The following is a 21,826-nucleotide window of genomic DNA, read 5'->3' as shown; positions in this document are numbered from 1 at the left end:
GGGACTTTCAAATGGACTTGACCCAGGCAACACAACCACAGCCTCATTCTGGAATCTTCCCTCCCAGCGGAATGTAAGGATAGCCAAGCCTTCCACCCATATGTGAGACTCAGGGTCCTGCCTTCAGCTTTCTGGGCTCCAGTCAGCTCCAGAATAATTAGCACCGTGTAATCCCAGGGACATCGGCCTCCAGAGGCCTCAGGCTGTGACAAAGGCCAGAATGCAGTTCAGCGTGTCCAGTGGCGGCTTCTCACCTCACTCCTCCTGTTGTCACTGAGAGCCAGATGGCCCAAGGCCGGGCTTGCCAAGGACATGGACACTTCCCTCCGAGGAATAGGAACACCAGTAGGAAGGACAGGTGAGAACGTTTGACTATGGCCCCGAGACCTCTAACTTCAGCACTGCCAGCAGCATCCTCTGCTGTGGCTTCTTGAGAGCTGAGGCCCAGTGCTGGGATGGGGCAGGTGGCTGGACATCCGGAGGGACTGCCCGCTGGGGAAAGCTATCCTTGCCCTCTGAGAAAACTATGAATGTACGAGCCCTGGCCCTGCTCAGGCCATGCCACCAGTGAGGGACTTGCCCAGCGCTGGGTGCCACCTTCTCCTTTAATTCCACAACCATGTGGTGACATGTCTTTTTTGTAGATGAGAAAACAGAGGCTTGGAGGGGTGAGAACTTGTCCAGAGACACAGGGGGCAGTGCAGGGGCCAGGATCCATATGGAGGAGCTGGGTCTCAACACCCAAGTCCGAGGCAGCTGTGCCTGGCAGGTTTGTGGGCTGGGATTACAGAGAGTCCCAAAGGGCTGGACAGAACTGTCCCTCCACCCAGCCTGCTGTGTGATCCTCCCGTGGGCCCCAGGTCCTGCTCATAGTTGTCCACAGGGCTGTGATGTAAGCACGGGGTGCTATCGAGAGCGAGGGCAGTCTCTCACGTAAGCACAGCGTGATTGTCAGAATCAGGAGGGAGTCGCTTTTCACCAAGCTTCGGTCTGTCTGGATTCATATTTGTTCAGGAGAGCCCATGGTTCCTGCAGAGCTCTCGTTCCCCAGTCCAGGAAGCAGGCCGGCATCACCCATTGCACTGAATCCTTGTATCTCTTTCGCTTCCTTTATTCTGGAGCATTCCTCAGCTGGCCCCCGTGTGGCCTGGCCCCTGTGTGGCCCGACCCTGTGTGGCCCAGCCCCCATGTGGCCCAGCCCCCGTGTGGCCCGGCCACTGTGCCTCCTGACCTCTGTGTGGCCAGGACCCCATGTGGCCTGACCCCTGTGCGGCCTGGTCGTGGCCTTTGTGGGAGGTGTGGGTCAGTTGTTTTGCGGGTTGTTTCCAGTTTGTCTAGTCTTCTGTTTCCTGGTGGTGAAGATGTGGCCCTGCCTTTTTGGCAGGTGCACCCTAGAAGTGAGCTTGTCTCTTTCTCAGCACGTCATCTCAGGAGGCAGACGTGGTCTTTTCAAGAAACTGAGAGGAGAAAAAACACCCCTTTCATGGTTTTCTACACATTTTCCCATGCAGGACTCCTCACTCCTTCCTGCAGATGGGAATTTCCATCTGGCGTCCATTCCTTCATCCCGAAGAGCTTCCTGGAACAGCTTTCTTACAGTGCAGGCCATGAATTCTCTCAATGTGCCTGGGGCAGGCGGCCCTTACTCCAGAGTCACCTGCTGGCGTGTCAACTCCGTTCTTGCTGGTGAGAGCTCCTGGTTCCCAGCATTTGGAATCTCCCCAGCAGCTGTTCCTGCAGGCCACATGGAGCAGCTTCCTCATGTGCAACCACGTGTCTGGGGCCCCTGTGCAGATTTCCAAAGCTCCTCTGCGCAGCCCCGTTGTTCCTGGGCTCCGGCCTCTGGCCCCAAACTCCAGCTTCCTCACCAGCCTGAGCTCCAGTCCCGCCTCCCCAGCTCAGCAAAGTCATTCTCCTCTGCTTGAGCTGGGACATAGCTAAGAAAAGAGAACCTTACGAGCCAGGTTGCAGGCGGGACCCCCAGGGTCCAGCAGGTGCCTCGGTCAATAGCCAGTGGTGGGACTTATGGTCTATGTCTCAACTCTCAGAGCTTTCAGTCCTGTGTGTTGTTTAATCTGAAACCCATTGCACGGAGCATTTCATCCAGTCTTACGGATGTTTACAGCAAGAGAGCCAGTGTGGCACAGGCTCCTTCCTTATGGCTGGAGTGGAAGTCCTCTCCTGGATCCCCTGTTAAGCTGCAATTGCGGGAGGTGCTGTGAAGGAGAGAACGCAGGGTGCCTTGAGAGAGCCCAAGGGTTAGAGAAATCTGCTTCAGAGAGCAGTGTTTGGGCTAAAATCTTTGCACTGAAATCTGAAGCACTATCCAGCCAAAGGGGTGTGTATGGGTGTGGGTGTGTATATGCTACACACACACACATGTCCAGGTGTACAGGTATGCATGTGAGATGAACAGACATGTGTCCACATGTACAGGTATGCATGTGAGGTGGACAGACATGTGTCCATGTGTACAGGTATGCATGTGAGATGAACAGACATGTGTCCACATGTACAGGTTTGCATGTGAGGTGGACAGACATGTGTCCACATGTACAGGTTTGCATGTGAGGTGGACAGACATGTGTCCACATGTACAGGTTTGAATGTGAGGTGGACAGACATGTGTCCACCTCGTGTACAGGTTTGCATGTGAGGTGAACACAGATGTCTCCATGTATACAGGTATATGTGTGAGATGAGCAGACATGTCCATGTGTACAAGTTTGCATGTCAGATGAAGAGACTTGTGTCCACGTGTGCAGGTATGCATGTGAGGTGGACAGACATGTGTCCATGTGTACAGGTTTGCATGTGAGGTGGACAGACATGTGTCCACATGTACAGGTTTGCATGTGAGGTGGACAGACATGTGTCCACATGTACAGGTTTGCATGTGAGGTGGACAGACATGTGTCCACATGTACAGGTTTGCATGTGAGGTGGACAGACATGTGTCCATTGTGTACAGGTTTGCATGTGAGGTGGACAGACATGTGTCCATGCGTACAGGTATGCATGTAAGATGAGCAGAACCACAGTCTCAGTAGAGGATACAGCATCTACAAGATATTTGTGTGGGTCAGGAAAGTGCTTGGTGTTTTCCAGGAGCTGAAAGGCCAATGTAAGTGGCCTCCAGCTTTCCCCCAAGTCCACACCCAGTGGGGAAAAGAAACCAGGATTTCAATGGCAGAGCCCACACCTCTGCCCTCTCACTGCCTCGATCATTCACCCTGGCATGCCACACACCTCTTACGTCCTGTGTGTGTGTGTGTGTGGCATGAGAAATGTTGGAGACCCTGGACGAACACACATGTGGGGAGAGGGAGTCAGACTGTGCTGTCAGTTCCAGGCTGTAGAAAGTTGGGGAATGTGTCTAAGAGCAGCTGGGAGCCACTGCAGGCTGTGGAGCCAGGGAGGAGCACAGGGACACGTGTTCTGGAGACACAGAACTGTGGTGTGTCCTGGTGACCGGGGGTCCCCACAAGACCCTGTTTGCAGTCCGTTGGACAAGGAAGGTGGGCTCCTGCCTCGTGCCCTTCCCCAGGGAGTTCTTGGCAGCTCATTTCGGGCATACCTGAATGTAATGGACCCAGGGTGGACTGGTGTGTGGATATGATTTTTTTCTTGTTTCGGACTAAAGAAATCCAAGGTCCTTGGATGTGAAAGATTTCTGGGTACTATCTCCAGGCCTCACAGGCCCTTCATCATCTGTGACTATGGTGCCCACATCCACTCGTGCCTCCCAGAGTGACCCCTGACACTGCAGACCCTGGCATGTGGCAAGGAGCGATGGATTATTCCAGCACCGGTGCTGTCGTGCCGCAGATGCTGGGGTGGGGCAGGAGGGGCTGGGCCGTGTGCCCCCAACAGTCTTGCAGATGGGCCTGTCCAGACCAGGGGCCCTGCCCCGCTGGCTGTCAGCAAGACCCCCTCCCGGGAGTTGTCTGGGGCCTGCTGCACCTCTGTGGGTTGTTGGGATGAGTGCGGCCCCGCCGGTCGCAGAGACAGGATTGGAGGAAGATGAGCTCGTGGTACGAGGCAGCGCTGATGTTCCTCTGGAGTCCTCCTGGGCCGTGCATGGTGCCCTGGGCTCTGCGGCCCCGCCCCACACCGTGGAGCCTCCTCTGACAGCCGGAAAGGGCGCTGGAAGGGGTAACTCCAAGGCTTAGGGAACGTCCGGGTGAGACGACACCACACAATATCCACATTACAGGGTTTCTGCAAAGGTGGGAGCTGCCATCCAGTATCCTCAACGACTCCAGGCTGAGAGCACCTGGGGCTTCCTGCCGCTGGGACAGAGATGCGGTCATTCCTGTCTCAGGCCCAGAGCTTTGGGTGCTGGGAAGCCTGTTATTGCTGATGGCCAGTGATGCCACAGCTGAAAGCCTGTGCGTGGCCGCCTCTTACAATGTTGGCATCAACAAGGGCGTGAATGACAAACCATTAGAAAGAAGGATGGAAAAGAAGCCATGGTTTCCACTGGGTTGCCGGGTGAGGCTTGGTCCCCAGGAGAGCCCAGACGCACCGGCTGTGTCACTCTGGGGTGGATCATCATCTGGGAAGAGAGCTTGCTGTTCAGAGCCCTGGGGGGAAGCCACGGCCCCAGCTCAACTCTGGGAAAGACAGCAGCCAGCTGACCCTGGCTCTGGGGGCTGTGGGGACAGCCAGCCTCCTCCTGGATTTTGGAAACCAGCCCCTGGTATCAGAAGCTCAGCAATGGGGCTGAGGTGGGATGGGGGTGACTGTGGCCTGATGGGGACTCAGGGGAGAAAAGGCCATGCTCTGTTTTGTCAGAGTGGGGCAAAGGAAGGCAAGAAGGGGGGACCTGGCTTGCCAGCCCCTTTCACCTGTGAAACAGGTAAGAAGTTCCCTGGCCTTCAATGCCAGCAGCTTCAGTGGACTGGACCAAGGGTGAGCCTACTGGCCGTGCTGGGCAGGTCTGCACATGCAGCTCTGCCTAAGATGTCCTTCCCTGTTCAGATGACCTTCTTACCACCTTGAAGGCCCAGCTCCGATGCTGTCTGCTCTCCTGAGGCTTCCCTAGTAGCACCCTTTCTGAGACAGGGTTGATGTGCTGATCGAGTGCCTCCGTAACAGTTTCTATGCCTGGACTGTACCCGGCACCGATGCCCTGACATGTTCAGTGGCCCCCACGGTGACAGTGAACCATGGTAGGAGCTCTGAGAGGTCAGAGAGTGAGCAGAAGGCTACCCGCATGTCAGGGAGAAGCCACAGAGCTCTCAGGTACACGCCCGGGCCATGGGCTGGACCCCCAGGAGGGGCAGCCACCAGGAAGCCCTGAGAACATGAACCTAGAGGAATGTTTCTTAGCTCAGAGTGACCCAGTGCAAGGCGGGGAACTGCACGCTTGTGAAGATGCCTGAGTTGCTTGATGTCAGTGCTGGGGAAATGTTCTGGAAGACCCGTGCTTGTGAGACCAGCAAAGAATGTGTTCTGAGGCCTTGGGTGAAGTCAGGAGCTCATGCCCACAGTCTGGGATGCAGACAGGCTGCTGGGGGTGGCCGGAGCCTCCTGGGCATGGCTATGTCCCAGCAACACACAGCACCTCCCTAAGGTGTTGATGGGCAGTGCCTGTCTCGGGACCCTCTGATCTGTTCAGCGCCCAGCACAGACCTGGCCACTGAAGGAACTTGGTAAGTGCTGGGGCTGGAATCAACTGACGAGCTTCCCACGCTAGGGGAGAAGGCGTGGCTGGAGAGCAGAGGGTTCATCCCTGAGTGCTGCTGACCAGCTGCCATGACGTGAAGGCCAATCATCCCATGGGCCTCCCTCCCAGAGCAGCAGCCTTAAGAGTCAGGGGCCAGCGGCAGAGGGTGGCCACACTGTTCTCCAGACAGCACCACACTGCTTGAACAGTCCAGTGGCATTCCATCGAGGCGCAGGCAACTTGTGCCCTTGACCTTCACAGGCTCCTGACCAGGTTTTGTCACTAACCAGCCGGCCAGGAGGTGGGCAGGGAGGCCCTGTGTTCTCTCCTCAGCCCAGTGCATTGGCCATGACAGCGTCTTGAGTCCCTGAGTCCCACCCCTGATCCTGCTCCTGTCTCCCTGGGGACAGGGGCTGCTAGTGGATCCCCACGGCCAAGGCCACACTGTCACTCCCACCTGTCATATGCCCTGACCAGAGCCAGGCACAGGGACCCTGAGCTGAAGCCAGTATTGGAAACGCTTGAGAAACTCACATATCAGTTTGTTGTGGGTGATTTAAATCCCCCTGAAGACATGTTGAAGCCCTAACCCTGGTACCTGTGGATGTGATCTTATTTGGAAATGGGGTCTTGGCAGGTGTCATGAAAATGTAGTTACTTAAGATGAGGTCAGACTGCATACGGTGTGTCCCTAATGCAACATGACTGCTGTCCTTACAGAGGAGCAGAAGACACTGAGATTTGTGCAGAGAGGAGACGACACATGCACACACAGACACACACACACACACACACACAGACACATGGAAGTGGGAGGCAGAGGCTGGGGCAGCATCTGCCAGCCCAGGAACAACAAGGATGCTGGTGGCTACCAGAAGCCGGGAGAACCTGGGAGCCCTTCTCCCTCACAGCCCGCAGACGAACCAGCCCTGCCGACACCTAGATTTTGGACTTCTGGCCTCCAGAACGGTGACAAAATGGATTTCTGTTATGCTGAGCCGGTCAGTTGTGGTACTTTGTGATGGACTGCCTGGGAGACGGTGCCCGTGGGACCCCTGAGACCCGGTTCTTGGAGAGAGCGCATTAGGGCACAGAGGCAGCTCCCACAACACGCATCATCTCCACATGCTTGCTAGCCCAAGCCAAGTCTGCTCCCCCTTGCTCTCCTCAATGCCCCGGCCACGCCTCCCCTCCCAGCTGCCCTCCTTAGGGCCAGCCATGGAGCTGGGTGCCGGTAGGGGCTGAGAACCACTGTGTGTGGTTTGAAGAGGATGAGTTCACAGGATGAGAGGAGGAGAGGGAACCATTAAATCTCCAGCCTGAACTAGAAGAGAGGAAAAATAAAGCCCGCTCCTAAGGCAGGAGATTCTGCCTGGCCCCTCGGAAGCTGCCAGCATCTGACAGGGAGTGGGCTCTGAGGGGTCCTCACAGAACTGCCCTAATGGAAAAGCAAAGTGTGGGTGCCGCAGGGGCGTCCCCGCCACCTCCCAAGTCACACTTCCACCCCCGGGGTTTCTGAGGCTGACTGGTGCAGGTTGAGGAAGCAGCTGGGGAGGGGAGATGCTGAACTGGTTGCAGCTCCCAGCCTGGTAGCCCCAAAGCCCTGGACAAGCTCCTGAACCCTTGAAGGGTCAATCCTTCATCTGCAAAATGGAATCATTAATAATGATCACAATAATTATAGCAATGCCTCCTGCAGGAGTGTAATAGTTAATTTCATTTATCAGCTTTACTGGGCCATGCGGTGCCCAGATATTTGGCCAAGCATGGTTCTGGGTGTGTGTGTCACAGAGTATCCTGGATGAGGTTCACATAGGAACCTGTAGCAGTTTTCCCCTCCCCGATGTGGGCAGGCCTCTCTGATTTGTGGAAGGCCTGAATAGAGCAAAGAAGCTAGGTAAGAGGGAATGGACTTGGGAGGCTGAGGTGGGAGAATCCCTTGAACCTGGGAGGCAGAGGTTGCAGTGAGCTGAAATACCACCATTGCACTCCAGCCTGGATAATAGGGCGATACTCCGTCTCAAAAAAAAAAAAAAAGCCACATGGTAAATATTTGAGGCTTTGCAGGACGTAGAGTTCAGTCATAGCTACTCAACTTCCATGGTAATACAAAAGCGTCCATAAGCACTAAGCGAACGAATGGATGCCTGCATTTGAGTGGGGTTGTTGGTCTTCTCGATGCAAAGCAGGTCAACCCCAAGATTGGGGCTTAGCCTGAGAGGGTTCTTGGTTTCACCCAGGAAGGAATTCAAGGGTGAGTTGGTGGTGTTAGCAACTTCTGTTGACGCTGAGGTGCTGCTCTTTGCTCAGCAGGGCTCCCCATAGGTGTGTCTAGAGCAGCAGCTCAGAGGCCATTCTGCAGTCATATTTATACTCACTTTAACTATGCACAAATTAAACGTTTCTAGAAATAGGCCATAATTTCTGAGTGTTGCCATGGCAATAGTAAACTGACATGGACACTGGACACTGGTGGGTGGGTCTGATGGAGAGGTGCTTTGGCTCCATCCCTGTTTTCACTAGTTCTCAATTAGGTCTGATGTCCAAGCCCTGCCTCCTGAGTCGAGTCCCACTTCCTGCCTCATTCTGCCCTTGGACATGGGTCAGACTGCACACTACTGGCTTCCTGGTTCTCTAGGTTGCTGATTGCAGATCTTGACTTCCTGAACTCCAAAACTAGGAGAGCCAATTCCTTGTGGTAGGTTTCTCTCTAAATATATGCTGTTGCCTCTGATTCTCTGGATAACACTGAGAAATCCAAGGAGCTTGGTTGATAATGAAAGGAGAGGGTATGGGGCCAGCCTCAGCAGTGGCTCAAGCAGGTGAGCCGGCTGGCAGGGACAGTGATGGCTGAAACTCCCGGCTGCCCTTCCCTTCACTGGTTGTGTAATGATGGCCAGTTGTGGGATCTGCCTGAGTCTCAGGCAGCTTAGCAGCAAGATAGGCATCATAGATGCTTCCAGGGATGTGCTGAAGGTTAAATGCCACAGTACAGGGGTCAGCAAACCATGGCCCATAGGCCACATCAGTCTGGTTTTGGAAATAAAGTTTTATTGGCACACAGCTGCATCCATTCGTTTGCTTAGTGCTTATGGACGCTTTTGTATTACCGTGGAAGTTGAGTAGCTATGACTGAACTCTACGTCCTGCAAAGCCTCAAATATTTACCACATGGCCTTTTATTTTTGAGACGGAGTATCGCCTTATTATCCAGGCTACAGTGCAATGGTGGTGTTTCAGCTCACTGCAACCTCTGCCTCCCAGGTTCAAGGGATTCTCCCACCTCAGCCTCCCAAGTAGCTGGGATTACAGGCACCCACCCTCATGCCCAGATAATTTTTGTATTTTTGTAGAGGCGGGATTTCACCATGTTGCCCAGGCTGGTCTTGAACTCCTGACCTCAGGTGATCCACCTGCCTCGGTCTCCCAAAGCCCTGGGATTACAGGCGTGAGCCACCATGCCTGGTCCCATGTGGCCTTTTATGAGCAAGTTCACCACCTCCTCCCAGGTATCCTGGGCTATGTGGGGACCACATCTGAAGTGTCCCATGGGCACGAGCTGGCTTTGCTGCAGTTGTGGTTATTGGCTCTGGCCTCCCAGCAGTGGCAGTTTCCCCAGTTCTCAGAAGGTCTCCCTTGGGCTCTGCACACAGGGATTTCCATGGCCACCAGGGCAGAGGCCCTGGCTCCTTCCTGTCCTACTGGCCCTGGTGCCTCTCAATGGTGGCCGCGCCACCCTGCCCTGGTTTCTGCTCCCAGTGGGCTGCCCGCTTGCCTGGCAGAGGTGTTACCTGTTAGTGAAAGTGGCTGCTGGTAATGAAAGCACTAGTGGATAATGAGGAGCCAGCTAATGAGAGCTAATGGAATGAGTCGTCTCAAAGAATTAACCTTTCAAAGGGGGTTTGAAAGTCAAAAACCTTCAGAACCCCGAAAGCAGGAGCGCAGCTGCCGAAATGACAGAACCGGCAGGAGCTGGAGGTGTGAGGGCAGCCGCTGAAACTGTGGCTTACGAGTGGGCGGCTCCCTGTGCACTACGTGGGCCCCCTCTGGACGACAGCTGCTCCCAGAAGCAGCACTACATGTGTGGAGAGCTCTCTGCCGGGTACTGTCTGATTTATTTCCCCAATTTCAGTTCTGTCCCATGCAGAAAGCCATGGGATCCCACTGTACAGGCGGCGAGATTTGAACACACATCAGTCTGACCCCCGAACTTATGTTCTCCCCAGTGCTGCTCCCGTTTCCCTTCTCAGGACAGACCCCAAGACAGGTGAGGCTGCCAACTGCCCTGGGACTCTCAGTCAGGACCACCGCTCTGGGACCCTGCTTTGGCAGCACTGGTCAGCCATCCTGCCCACCCCAGCCTTCCTCCAGGGCCTGTCTCTCCTGCTGCCTGTCTCCCGAGGCATCAGGGCCAAGCACATTTCTACAGCATTGACTGCAGCAAGAACTAACTGTGGGAGCTGGGGCAGCCTCTGTAAGGAAAGGGAAGCACTTCCTATACCTGTAGAGAAGAACCTTCTCTCTCTGTCTCTCTCACATGTGCACACACACATGCATATACTTGCACCCACATCTGTGCACACATACACAAGCACACATGCATGCACATATGCATTCACACAGGCACATGCACACACATCCGCACGTATGCACGAGCACATATGCACACCCACGCACTCACACAGACACACATGCACACACTTGCACAAGCACACGCACACACATCCACACACGCACAAGCACACATGCACACCCGTGCACTCACACAGACACACATGCACAGGCACATGTACACACATCCACACATATGTACACCCATGCACTCACACATGCACATGCACACACACATCCACACACATGTGCTCACACATGGAGACACATGCACGAACACTTGTATGCACATGTATATTCTCATGTGCACACACATGCACACTCACACATGCACACACAGATGCAGACCCTGTCAGCCCTTCATTGCCTTGGACCTCTCTGCTCTGTGTTTGGGTCTCTCGTCTGTCTCTGCTGACTGAAAGTACGTAGCAGTGATTGTTTTCCTGACTGAACAGGACTCCTGGAGAGATCACACACCCAAGGCCACTGCGCGAAGGATCCAGAAGTGGCCCTGGCTCTCAAAGCTGGGTCTGAGCAGGGCCTGCCCCACTGCCTCATCCAGAACTATCTTTCTTCCTTCTGCACTCAGCTCAGATGTTACCCCCAGGACCCTCCTGCCCTTGTGGTTGGGGCTGGGCTTGCTGTCCCCCACTCGTCCCTGTGGTGCTCTGGACCCTAGAGGATCTGGTCTCCAATTCGAACACCCTGACCCCAACTCAGGGCACTTCTCTTTCTTGCCCCTGTACGAAACACACTGGTTCCCACGGCAGCCTTTGTGCCTGCTGTTTTCTCGTGGGGAACACCCTTCCCAGATCTGCGCACACCTGGCTGTTCCCTTTCTTCGGTTCAACTCTAGCGGCTGAAATCAATCCCTGCGAGTATGTGGGTTTATGTTTCTTGTCTGTGCCCATGCCTGAGTCTGTGGCGCGGCCATTGCCACACACGGCAGCTGGGGTGGCTCAGAAACAGCACCTTTCCCACTGCCCTGGAGGCCAGGCATCCAGGGTCAACCTGCCGGCGGACGGTGTCTGGCGAGGATCCACTCCTGGCTCAGACACGGCTTCTTCTCCCATGCCTTGCCCTGGCGGAAGGGGCACGGCAGCTCCCTGGGGCATCTTTGATGAGGGCACGGATCCCCCCTGGAGAGCTCACCCTTGAACTGGATCACCTCCCAGTCCCACCACACTGGGGCTTAGGTCTTAATGTATGGATTTCAGGGGACACAGACATTTGTCCACTGCTGCCCTGCTTGCCATGAGCTCCTGGGCGATAGGGACTCTGTCTTGCTCCACCCGGCGCCTGGCACTGGTGGATGCTTACGAAACAGTCCTGACCGAGTTGTAGGGAGCACTGGAAGTCAAGATCACTGAGAGGAGGGCTTCCTGGTGCATAAGCCTGGCCTTCCCTGTGAGAAGGGGGGCTTTGGACAAGGGGATTCTTCCTGTGCGGTGAGGGTCGAGATAGAGGCGGGCACCGGCTTACACGGCGGGCTGCTCCCACTGCGGGAAAGAGACGCTTCCCGTGGGAATAGGCCCGGCATTCTCTATGTGAAGCACGCTCGGGACTCTTGGAATTTTGATAAAAATAAACCCCCTTCCGTATGTTATTTTCTGATGGAGGCTCTACAGGCACTTCTGAAACATGCTCGGACATGGAGTGTCAGGGCCCTTCCCTGGGCTGAGGGTGTCGGGAGCTGATTGATTGGAATGAAAAATGGAACAAGGGGAGGCCCCTGACTGAGAAATTCTCCTGATAAGCATTTCAAGGCCTCCGCAAATTGATTTTAGATACTGAGTTCCCTGATCAAGTGGAAATTTACAGTCTTGCTGCTGAAATTCCTCCTCTGGTCTGTCATCCACTCAACAGATGGTACTTCTTCAGGCTACCTTTAATAGCCCCAGAAATTAAATTAGTAAAAAAACGGAGAACTCCCATCATGTTAAAAGCCATCCGTGGCTTCAGGACTCTGGTAAATCTCCATCCACAGAGGCAATCTTATGTGAAAAAGATTTGGAAATGAGGCTTTTGCTGTAAAATGCAAATGTAGACCTGTCTCCACCCCGGGGGCTAAGCCCGGGAGGCCAGGGCTGTGGCTGGCAGCACTCTGGACCAGCGCTGCTGCGGTGGCAGCTGGGAGAGCGGGGTCCCCTGCCTCCCATGATCAATCCCGACGGGACTGGCTTGGCTTCTCCCGGCTGTGAGGATGGAGTGCTGGGTAGGCAAAGGGGGTCCAGTCGCCCGTCCTGTGCGGGTGTCACCAGTTACACCAGCCTGGAGGGGAAGCACAGGACCTGACCACCTTCCTGCAGCCACACTGTGGCAGACACACAAAAGGCTAGGCATGGATATTCCCCGGTGAGGGACAAGGAAGTGGGGCTCCAGCTCTGTCCTGTGTGTGCCTGCCCAACTGTACGAGATGGGGGTATGCCCACACCTGAGTGTCCTGAACCCTGAACCCCCGCCTCTTCCCCTGCCCAGGGAGTCCACCCAATTGGGGACCAGTGGGCAGGGCTCATGACAAGCTGGGACCACGTGGGCCGGAACTCCTCAATGCCAGGGCCTCTTCCCTGGCCTTCTTCATTCTTCCTGTCATCACATTGGACACGGTGACCTCAGATGGCTCCAATTGATGGTGACGCCACCACCGATTGACGTCTGGTCACAGATTCACGTCAAGCCATCTGCTGGGCCAAAAACTCTTCCTGTGAAATGCGTCCTCACTGACATTTGCAGCAAGATTGTTTGGACTACGGCAGATCTTACGACAAACCTCAGACCCCAAACTTTCCTCCAGCCAACAGTCTCGGAAGTATTTCAAGCTGTGTGGGATGTAAAAGCCAGATTCCGGCACTCTGAAAAACTTCATATACACCCTTGACGTGATTTGGATAAGGGTTCAGCCCCCATATTTCCACTTTGATTATGTCATGCGTTCAGTTTGAAATTCATAAGAATGAAACATGTGTTCCACGCATAATGGGTTTCATGAAGGTGGTATTTTTCCTCTACAGATGGATTTTTATTTATCACGGATTCCTTTCTGCTTTATGCACCTAGCTAGTGTGGGATTTCCTAATGATTCATGCTTAAGATTTTCAAATTGGACCAAGAGCCCCTCCCTCAAGAAACCCTCCAGAGGCTCCCTTCCTCCCCACGAGCCCAGGTCCACAGGCACACACAACCAAGAGATATGATAGGTCAGTTCTTTTGAGTAAAAATTCGCCGAACGCAAGAGGTCTCCCCTGACAATGTCCTCGGGAAGGGGAGACCATCTCACTCCTTCCTCTGATGAGAGAGGAAGGCTCCCGGGCCCCATTCCAAGCAGACATGACTCACACACTCCGGGCACCCTTGAGGCCCAGACACCCACCCTTTAATCTCAGCTCACACCCTCTCCTTAGAGCTTTGGGGTTGCGGAAAACTCAATTTCACTTGCACCTTCTTGCCGCTGGGTGGACTGCAAAACATCTGTAGGGTTTCTGTGTGGAGCTGTCTCCCCACGTGCGTGGTCACGAGGAGTCTTCTTGGCCCCTGGATCCGTGGAAGCCCCTTCGGCTTGCCAAGGGGAGCCAAGCCCTCTCCCGGGGGGCAAGCTAGAGGGGCCAGCTGTTGACCTCCCGTCATGCTTCCCTACTGGAAGCCGGGCTCGGTTCCTGGGGTTACAGCCATCACATGACACTCATGCAGTATTTGAGACTTAAGAAGAGGTTCAGAGGAGGCTGAACTCAGAATGGCATATTTCCTTGAATTTCTCCCACATCACTTCTGAACACCGCCTGTTTCTTCCATGGATGCCTCCCATGCAGCCATGCTGAGAAGACACATAGTTGCAAACCAAGCTCTCTCTTCGCCCACCTCCCCCCACGCGCCGTGCTGGAAATTGGCTCCATTCCTCAAATGGAAAGTTTTTATTCATTTCTGCCGGAATAATGAAGACAGGTACATTTTTCAGCCAGGCGATGTGGCCTCATTATTTTCCCATCAGTGGAAGCTGCCGATGTGTCTTGTTCCCCAGCGTGCACACACTTCACACCGACGCTCCCGGCAGCCGCCGTCCACTTGGCTGTCAGGGGGACCAGGTAATTCGGGCCAGCGGTGAAAGCTTTGTTCCCAGTGATGTCTCCTTCCCCTGCCCCGCCGGGAAGTCTGGACCCCTGGCTGCCGGCAGCTTATCTTATCCACTTCCTCTCCCCAGGGATGGCCACTCTGGCTCCTAAGCACCAGGTGGAAGGGAGCGTGAATTAGATCAGGACTCTGGCCCAAGCAGACCCACATCCAATGCTGGCTCCAGGGATTCCAGGCTGCGGGCCACGCCATGCTTCTTGGCTTCTCTAAGCCCCAGTCTCCTCATCTGCAAAATGGAAGATGAATCACTCCCAGGTCACAGGGCCCTCGTGCAGATGAATAGGATCGTGCGTTAGAGGGTTTCCAGAGCCTGGGATGCAAGTTGGACTCCGTAGCAAGGCTCTAACTCTGTTAGGAGGCTTTGGCCGCACAAAATGTAAAATCCAGCTCTAACCAGCTCAAACAACAACGCGAGCTTATTTCCTCTTCTAACGGAGGCACCAGAGGCCCCCGGGTTTCAGGAACAGCATGATCTGGTCCCTGGTCCTGCTTCCCTGTGGTTCTCTCGGCTTTGTCTTCTCAGTCTTGTCTTTGTTTTGCAGCTGGCTGTTCTTATGGTCACAGTGTGGTTGCTGGGAGCCACCGCTTGGCTCAGACCCCCTTTCCCGTTGAGGAAGAGCAAGCACATCACTTCCTACAATCATCAGTCATGACCCCTGAGGTTTACTTTGAGGGACCAGCTCTGTGTCAAGAGGGGGTGATGCTGGCTCACGCCTCTGTCCCTGCTGTCTGGGGGGAAGGGGAGGGAACACACATTGCCCTCCTCGGTAATTAAGCACCTAGCTCAGCTCTCAACCCCACTCCCGCCATAATCCTTGATGTGGTCCCAGCCTGGATTTGTGAGCCGTCATTATAATGCCTCCCTCAGCAAATTCACAGCCCGGTTGTACCCACTCACTGCCTCTCTCCTGCCTGCACCTGCAGAGGTGAGCGGTGACCTCAACCCGAGTGGGGAATCAGGAGCCTAAAGCTCTGACCACGGCCCGTAGACTTCTTAGGGTAACAGGCAATTTTCCTACTTCTTCACAAACAGAACCATCGATTTCCAAACCCACAGAACCATTCTTGCTCCCGTCTTCTCGGTCGTTCATGATAAACAGAGAACCTTGTGTCCACGTGTGGCCTTTTCCTTCGTCCGAAACTTGCCTTTTCTAAGGAATGCTATGCATGGGAAAAGATTTTTGCTGAGCATGAACGCTGCACTTCCGGTTTTTCAATAGGCTCTGAGATGTGAAATTAATAATGCTTACCGGCATGACAAAATCTGGAACCAGTGGGCACCTTGATCTCCCGCAGCTCCTGCTCTGTTCTGACCCTGCAGGAGAGACAATTCCACCAGGTCTTCACTTATTAAGAAGCATTTCTCCTACACTCCACTGCCCTGGGCTGACATGGGACCGACTCTTCTGTCCAGTAGGCAAATATCTCCCTCGGCTTGGGGTGGGGTCAGCCAAAGATCCAGCTGGACTCAGCGGGACTGACAGATGCCCTCTGCAGAGTGACTTAGCACAAAACATGCCACCCCCCAGCCCCCTCATCGGCCCAGACAGCCCTTGTTCCTCTGCCTGTGGAGGGAGGGGGGTCAGCCTGCTCTGGGACACTGAGTGAACCCTGCATTGCCCCCGACCCAGGGGCCCCAGTTCTGTCCAGTGGTGGATGGGAAGGATGGAGGCCGCTGCCCGACCCATGGACCACAGAGCAATGGGCTCCTTGCAGGCGACGTCATCAGCAGAACCACAGTCACATGCGGCTGTGAGAACCTCCCAGGGCCCCCATCCGAAATGACCCCGCCCATCATGCCCCATCAAGCTCCCTGTTCTGTCCCTTTTGGAGCATCTGCCGGGGCCAAAGCTGCCCAGTTTTTGCTTCCACATTTCTTGAGACTGACCCTTCTCCCTGCTGCCAGTGCCCCTCCTGAGTGTAAGCCCTCAGCAGGCAGGCTGCTCACCCCCAAGGTCCCGGCGGCAGGAGGATGAAGACTTGTGAGAGCTGGTTATCTCTGCTCCACGAGGAGCCTGTCAGAGCCACATCCTGGAACAGAGACGACACCTTGCAGAAAGCACTAGAAACACCAAGGATGTGGAGTTTGCTAGAGAGATCCCCTCCCTTCCGCAGGCATTGGCCACCTCAATTCCCCCGTGCCCCTCTCGCAGGCATCTGGCTCTTGTGTCTCTCTTTGGATGCTGCTATTTCTGGGGGCTCCAAAAGACTCTGGGCCTGGGCTGCAAGGGGCCCTCCTGAAGGAGACCTCTCGCGTTTGGCGAATTTTTACTCAAAAGAACTGACCTATCATATCTCTTGGTTGTGTGTGCCTGTGGACCTGGGCTCGTTGGGAGGAAGGGAGCCTCTGGAGGGGTTCTTGAGGGAGGATCTCTTGGTCCAGTTTGAAAATCTTAAGCATGAATCAGTAGGAAATCCCTCACTAGCTAGGTGCATAAAACAGAAAATGACTCACTTTTCTGACACCATTCAAACGTCCCCTTTAAACAGCCTTTCCTGGCCTGGTGTGGTGGCTCATGCCGATATAATCCCAGCACTTGGAGAGACCAAGGTGGGAGGATCGCTTGAGCTCAGGAATTTGAGACCAGCAAGCGAGACCCAGTCTCTACAAAAAATACAAAAATTAGCCAGGTGTGGTGGTGTGCACCTGTGGTCCTGGCTACTCAGGAGGCTGAAGCAGGAGGATTGCTTGAGCCCAGGAGACTGAGGCTGCAGTGAGTCCTGATTGTACCACTGCACTCCAGCCTGGGTGATAGAGTGAGACTCTGTCTCAAAATAAAATAAAATAAAATAAAATAAAATAAAATAAAATAAAATAAATAAGTAAAAAATAAGATAAAAAGCCTTTCGTGATTGTCCCCACACCCCAAGAAAAATTCAGAGCTAACAGCTCTGTATGACAGGGTCCCGTGTCCCCCGGCACAAAGGTCTCACCAGGAAGCAGGCCAGCCCCAGGGGTCACAGCAGGGACTCTGAAGTCAGAACACTCTGCTTGTTTCCTTTGAACATTTCCAGTGGTTGTCACAGAGTTCATCACTTACATTTTTAACTCACCACACATAGTCGTCCTTCACGTAACACTGCGCCACTTCTCATGAGGATCGGGCCGCAGTGCCTGTGCCCATCTCCCCCTCTGTCCTTGGTGTTACCACTGTGATCTCATGAGGGTCGGATCATGGCACCTGTGCCCATCGCCCCCTCTGTCCTTGGTGTTACCGCTGTGATCTCATGAGGGTCGGGCCGCAGCGCCTGTGCCCATCTCCCCCTCTGTCCTTGGTGTTACCACTGTGATCTCATGAGGGTCGGATCATGGCACCTGTGCCCATCGCCCCCTCTGTCCTTGGTGTTACCACTGTGATCTCATGAGGGTCGGGCCACAGCGCCTGTGCCCATCTCCCCCACTCTCCTTGGTGTTACCACTGTGATCTCATGAGGGTCGGATCATGGCACCTGTGCCCATCTCCCCCTCTGTCCTTGGTGTTACCACTGTGATCTCATGAGGGTCGGGCCGCAGCGCCTGTGCCCATCTCCCCCACTGTCCTTGGTGTTACCACTGTGATCTCATGAGGGTCGGATCATGGCACCTGTGCCCATCTCCCCCTCTGTCCTTGGTGTTACCACTGTGACCTAATGAGGGTCGGGCTGAGGCACCTGTGCCCATCTCCCCTCCCGTCCTTGGTGTTACCACTGTGATCATGTGAGGGTTGGGCTGAGGCACCTGTGTCCATCTCCACCCCCGTCCTTGGTGTTATCACTGTGACCTAATGAGGGTCGGGCTGAGGCACCTGTGCCCATTCCCCCCACCCCTCCCACACCATCCTTGATATTACCACTGTGATCATTTCACTTCCCTGTGCTATAAACCCCGCCCTAAGCTTTTAATAAGTTTGCTATAAACAGACAATTGTATTTCAGAGAGAGCAAAGCAATGAGAAAAACATAACTTCCCACAGAGTGATCCTGTCTGGCTCTCCTCAATCCTTAGTGCAGATTCAAATTTCCATTTAGCATCATTTTTTTTTTCTGCCTAAAGAATTTTCTTTCACATTTTTGGCAATAGTTTTCCTATTCTATATGTCTAAGAAATGTTTCCTGCACCTTCTTTATTGAAAAATATTTTCTCTGGTATGGAATCTTAGGTTGGCAGCTTTCCCCCCATTTATGTGTTTGGAAGATGCTGCTTCACGCTCTCCCGGCCTGCATGAGTTTTGGTGAGAAGTCTGATGTCCTTCCTATTCGTGTTCCTTTGTTTATCTCTGGCTGCTTTTAGCCTTTTTAGTGTCTCTGGCTGTTAGCAATTTGATTACAACATGCTTTTTTTTTCTTTTCTTTTCTTTTTTTTGTGTGAGGAGGAGTCTCACTCTGTTGCCCAGGCTGGAGTACAGTGGTGCAATATTGGCTTGCTGCAGCCTCTGCCTCCTGGGTACAAGCGATTCTCCAGCCTCAGCCTCCCAAGTAGCTGGGATTACAGGTGCGTGCCACCATGTCTGGCTAATTTTTGTTTGTTTGCTTGTTTTTGTATTTTTAGCAGAGACAGGGTTTCGCCATGTTGGCCAGGCTGGTCTCGAAATTCTGACCTCAAGTGATCCACCCAACTCGGCCTCCCAAAGTGCTGGGATTACAGGTGTGAGCCACCATGCCCTGCCTGATTACGACACGCTTTGGTTTGATTTCCTTTGTGTATGTACCTCTAAAGCTTCATTGAGATCTTTAGATCTTTGGGTTTTATCATTTTCTTCAGATGTAGAGAATTTTCAGCGATTATTTCTTCAAATATTTTTTCCCTACTTTCCTCCTTTTGAGACCCTGAATCCAGTGTGTTCCGTCACTGTGTGGGATCGCACAGCTCACACCCGTGTGCTTTTTTATCCTGTCTTTTTCCTCTGTGTGCTTCAGCTGGACAGCGTCTTCAAGTGACATTTTTCAGTTCACTGACCTTCTCTTTTCTGTACCATCTAATTGGCTGATAACCTCCTCTATTGTATCTTATGGCAGCTAGTGTATTTTTCATCCCCATGGGTCTTTACCTCTCACCTCTCTCCTCATTATCTCCACATTCTCCTCTATATTCTTGGACATACGAAGCTATTTATAGTAGCTATTTTTATGTCTTTCTCCGCTGATTTGATCATCTGTGTTATTGTGGGGTCCGCTTCTGTTGGTTGATTTTTCTCCTGGTGTTGGGTTATATTTTCTTGCTTCTTTGTTGCCAAGTAATTTTTGATGGGATGTTGACAATTACAAACTTTGTTTTCATCCTTTAAAGAGTGTGGGACTTTCTCTTGATTCTCAGTGAAGTTACTCGGCGTCCGTCTGCCCCTTTCAAGTCTTTCTTTACATGTTTTTAGGGTAGGTAGGGAGCAGCCTTTAGTCTGGGACTGGGGTGCTACCTTCCTAAGGCTGCTACCTGCCGCTGCATCCTACTTGGCTGGGAGAATCTGAGCTATTCCCAGACCATGTGAGTTCTGGGAGTTGTCTGGCTTCCTGCTTTCCAGGGGTTCTGTCCAGGTGTGTGCAGTTTCATATAGACATGTGCAGATAGGAGCACTGCCAGCGGGTTGAAGCCCTCCTGCAAGCCCTGGGACCTCTGTCGGTGCGTCACCCTGCTCCCTGGTACTTTGCTCTGCAAACCCCAGCCACCTTGGTCTCTCAGAACCCTGGTCTCTGATTCTTCAAGGCAGTGAGGCCGCTGGGCTCTGCCTCCCAGCCATGGGGGTGGCAATCACTCAGAGGGCCCAGCTGCTGGTGTCCCTCCTTTCCGTGCTGGCAGCTCTGTCCTCCTGCCTCCAGTATCTGAAGACTGTAGCCCCACATGCGTGGAGAGGGAGGCCTGGATCACCACCTCTGAAGCTCAGCTTTGCCATCTACTAATTGCAGGACTTTTGGCTGGCTACTTAATCTCCAAGCCTCCTTTCCCCCCTCAGTAAAATCGGAACACGGACAGCGCCTTCCTAAAGTGGAGCCAGCGCTTTGCACAGGGCCTGGCGTGTGGTGTCACTTGCAGATGAGTATCTGGGTACAGATCTGTTTTCCGCACCAGACTGTGATGTCCTTGAGAGCTGGGCAGTGCCTGCCCTGGCTCTGTGTTCATTGATGGAGGACAATCTGCAGATACAGGGATGTCTGACGAAGGGACCTGGAATGAAGGTGTGGGAGGCGGGGAAGCCAGTGGGTGTTTTCCGTGAATGATTTTGACAGCCAGTCGTCCCCCCATGCACACGTATCTTACACACACGCCTTCCTTCCTTGCCAGCATTGGCCCTGCAAAGAGGCACCCTGGGCTCCAGGTCCCAGTGGCCATCAGACAGCTGAACACCCAAAGACCAGCTGGGCTTTCCAGTCCCACAGGTCTTCGGGAATTGTCAAGTCTTATCCTATGTCCCTGTACAATTTGGCTGAATCCCCCATCTTTCTGTGCCTCAATTTCCCTGCCTTTAAAATGGAGGCGTTTGGAGCTCAGTGGTTCTCCAGCTTTGTTAGTGGCAGAAATTTCTTTTTCTCCAGACTGATCTGAAGCAGAGGAGAGTAGAGCTACTCTGGAAGAAGCAGGGTGGGGTCCTGAGGGCATGGAAATGACCAGAAAGGATGTTCTCTTAGTCCCTTGGGGCTTCAGTTTCCCCATCTATAAAATGGGGCTAACAAGGGCACCTCCCTCATTGAGTGGGTGAAAGGTCAGGGTGAGGCCATCCAGGTGAAGGGCCTGGGGCTTGCACCTGTGCTGGGTAACAGTCAGCCATCACCATTGTAATCAGCTTCCCTCCTACCCAGGGAGAGACCCCAGGAGGGGAGGGGACATTTCACATGGACCAGGTGCTATACAAACTCAGTGAACCCCAATTCCCCCTCTAAGTGGGCGCTCTGTATTTACAGGCAAAATTCAGAGACTCAGCTAATACAAGGGAATTGTCCAAGGTCACTCCAACAGCCAGCAGCAGTGACAAGGTTCATAGCACATCTGTCTCACTCCAGACAGCCCCTCCTTTCCCCATCCCCTGCCCACTTGGCTCCAGCCTTTTTGAACATCTCCCTGAAGCTGTGATGGCCACGCTGACCCATCAGCCTGCCCTCCATGATAAGCACTAAAATGATCGCCATGGGCATCCTCTGCTGGATGGGGCGAGTGCGCAGAGCCTCTGTCTGTATTCGGCTTAGTGGAGCCAGGGGATGCAGCCTGTTTGCACAGACTCTCGTACCCTAGGACTTAGTGGCACCAGCTGTGGCAGAGCCTGCCCCTTCGCTGAGTCAGCATTAGCAGAGTTTCTTGGTGTCTAGTGGGATTCTGTGAATCGTCATGGTGAAGAATGTGCATCTTGCCTGGAGAGACAGCAGTTTTTCATCCTTGGGATTTTGAACAAGCTCCTTGCAGAAGTCTGGCTGCCTAAGGACATCTGGAGCAAATTTAACACAAACTTTCACCAT

General features: G+C 53.7%; 1 long non-coding RNA gene across 5 annotated transcripts, besides 4 other annotated features; it reads right to left on the bottom strand.

Annotated features, from left to right (window-relative positions):
* Positions 5,658-6,159: an enhancer, noted in NCBI's record as "H3K4me1 hESC enhancer chr9:138066123-138066624 (GRCh37/hg19 assembly coordinates)". NCBI's record gives its function as "activates a minimal SCP1, AML or CMV promoter by ChIP-STARR-seq in primed H9 embryonic stem cells {active_cell/tissue: H9 hESC(primed)}" and the evidence as "EXISTENCE:reporter gene assay evidence [ECO:0000049][PMID:30033119]".
* Positions 6,922-7,422: an enhancer, noted in NCBI's record as "H3K27ac hESC enhancer chr9:138064860-138065360 (GRCh37/hg19 assembly coordinates)". NCBI's record gives its function as "activates a minimal SCP1, AML or CMV promoter by ChIP-STARR-seq in naive H9 embryonic stem cells {active_cell/tissue: H9 hESC(naive)}" and the evidence as "EXISTENCE:reporter gene assay evidence [ECO:0000049][PMID:30033119]".
* Positions 9,774-10,275: an enhancer, noted in NCBI's record as "H3K4me1 hESC enhancer chr9:138062007-138062508 (GRCh37/hg19 assembly coordinates)". NCBI's record gives its function as "activates a minimal SCP1, AML or CMV promoter by ChIP-STARR-seq in naive H9 embryonic stem cells {active_cell/tissue: H9 hESC(naive)}" and the evidence as "EXISTENCE:reporter gene assay evidence [ECO:0000049][PMID:30033119]".
* On the bottom strand, positions 13,313-17,975 carry LOC102723948 (uncharacterized). Of its 5 annotated transcripts, none has more exons than XR_930423.2 (4): positions 17,449-17,975; positions 16,356-16,438; positions 15,658-15,722; positions 13,313-15,568 (listed from the first exon to the last, which is right to left on the bottom strand). It is a non-coding gene; the product is annotated as an uncharacterized LOC102723948 (long non-coding RNA). The 5 variants fall into 5 exon arrangements; XR_001746585.2 differs by having other exon boundaries at positions 13,313-14,633; XR_428610.2 differs by having other exon boundaries at positions 17,462-17,975.
* Positions 14,432-14,932: an enhancer, noted in NCBI's record as "H3K4me1 hESC enhancer chr9:138057350-138057850 (GRCh37/hg19 assembly coordinates)". NCBI's record gives its function as "activates a minimal SCP1, AML or CMV promoter by ChIP-STARR-seq in primed H9 embryonic stem cells {active_cell/tissue: H9 hESC(primed)}" and the evidence as "EXISTENCE:reporter gene assay evidence [ECO:0000049][PMID:30033119]".
* Positions 17,976-21,826: the final 3,851 nt, after the last annotated feature.

Source organism: Homo sapiens, chromosome 9 (assembly GCF_000001405.40).
Source record: "Homo sapiens chromosome 9, GRCh38.p14 Primary Assembly".
Taxonomy (NCBI): domain Eukaryota; kingdom Metazoa; phylum Chordata; class Mammalia; order Primates; family Hominidae; genus Homo; species Homo sapiens.
This window is presented reverse-complemented; position numbering and strand designations above follow the sequence as displayed.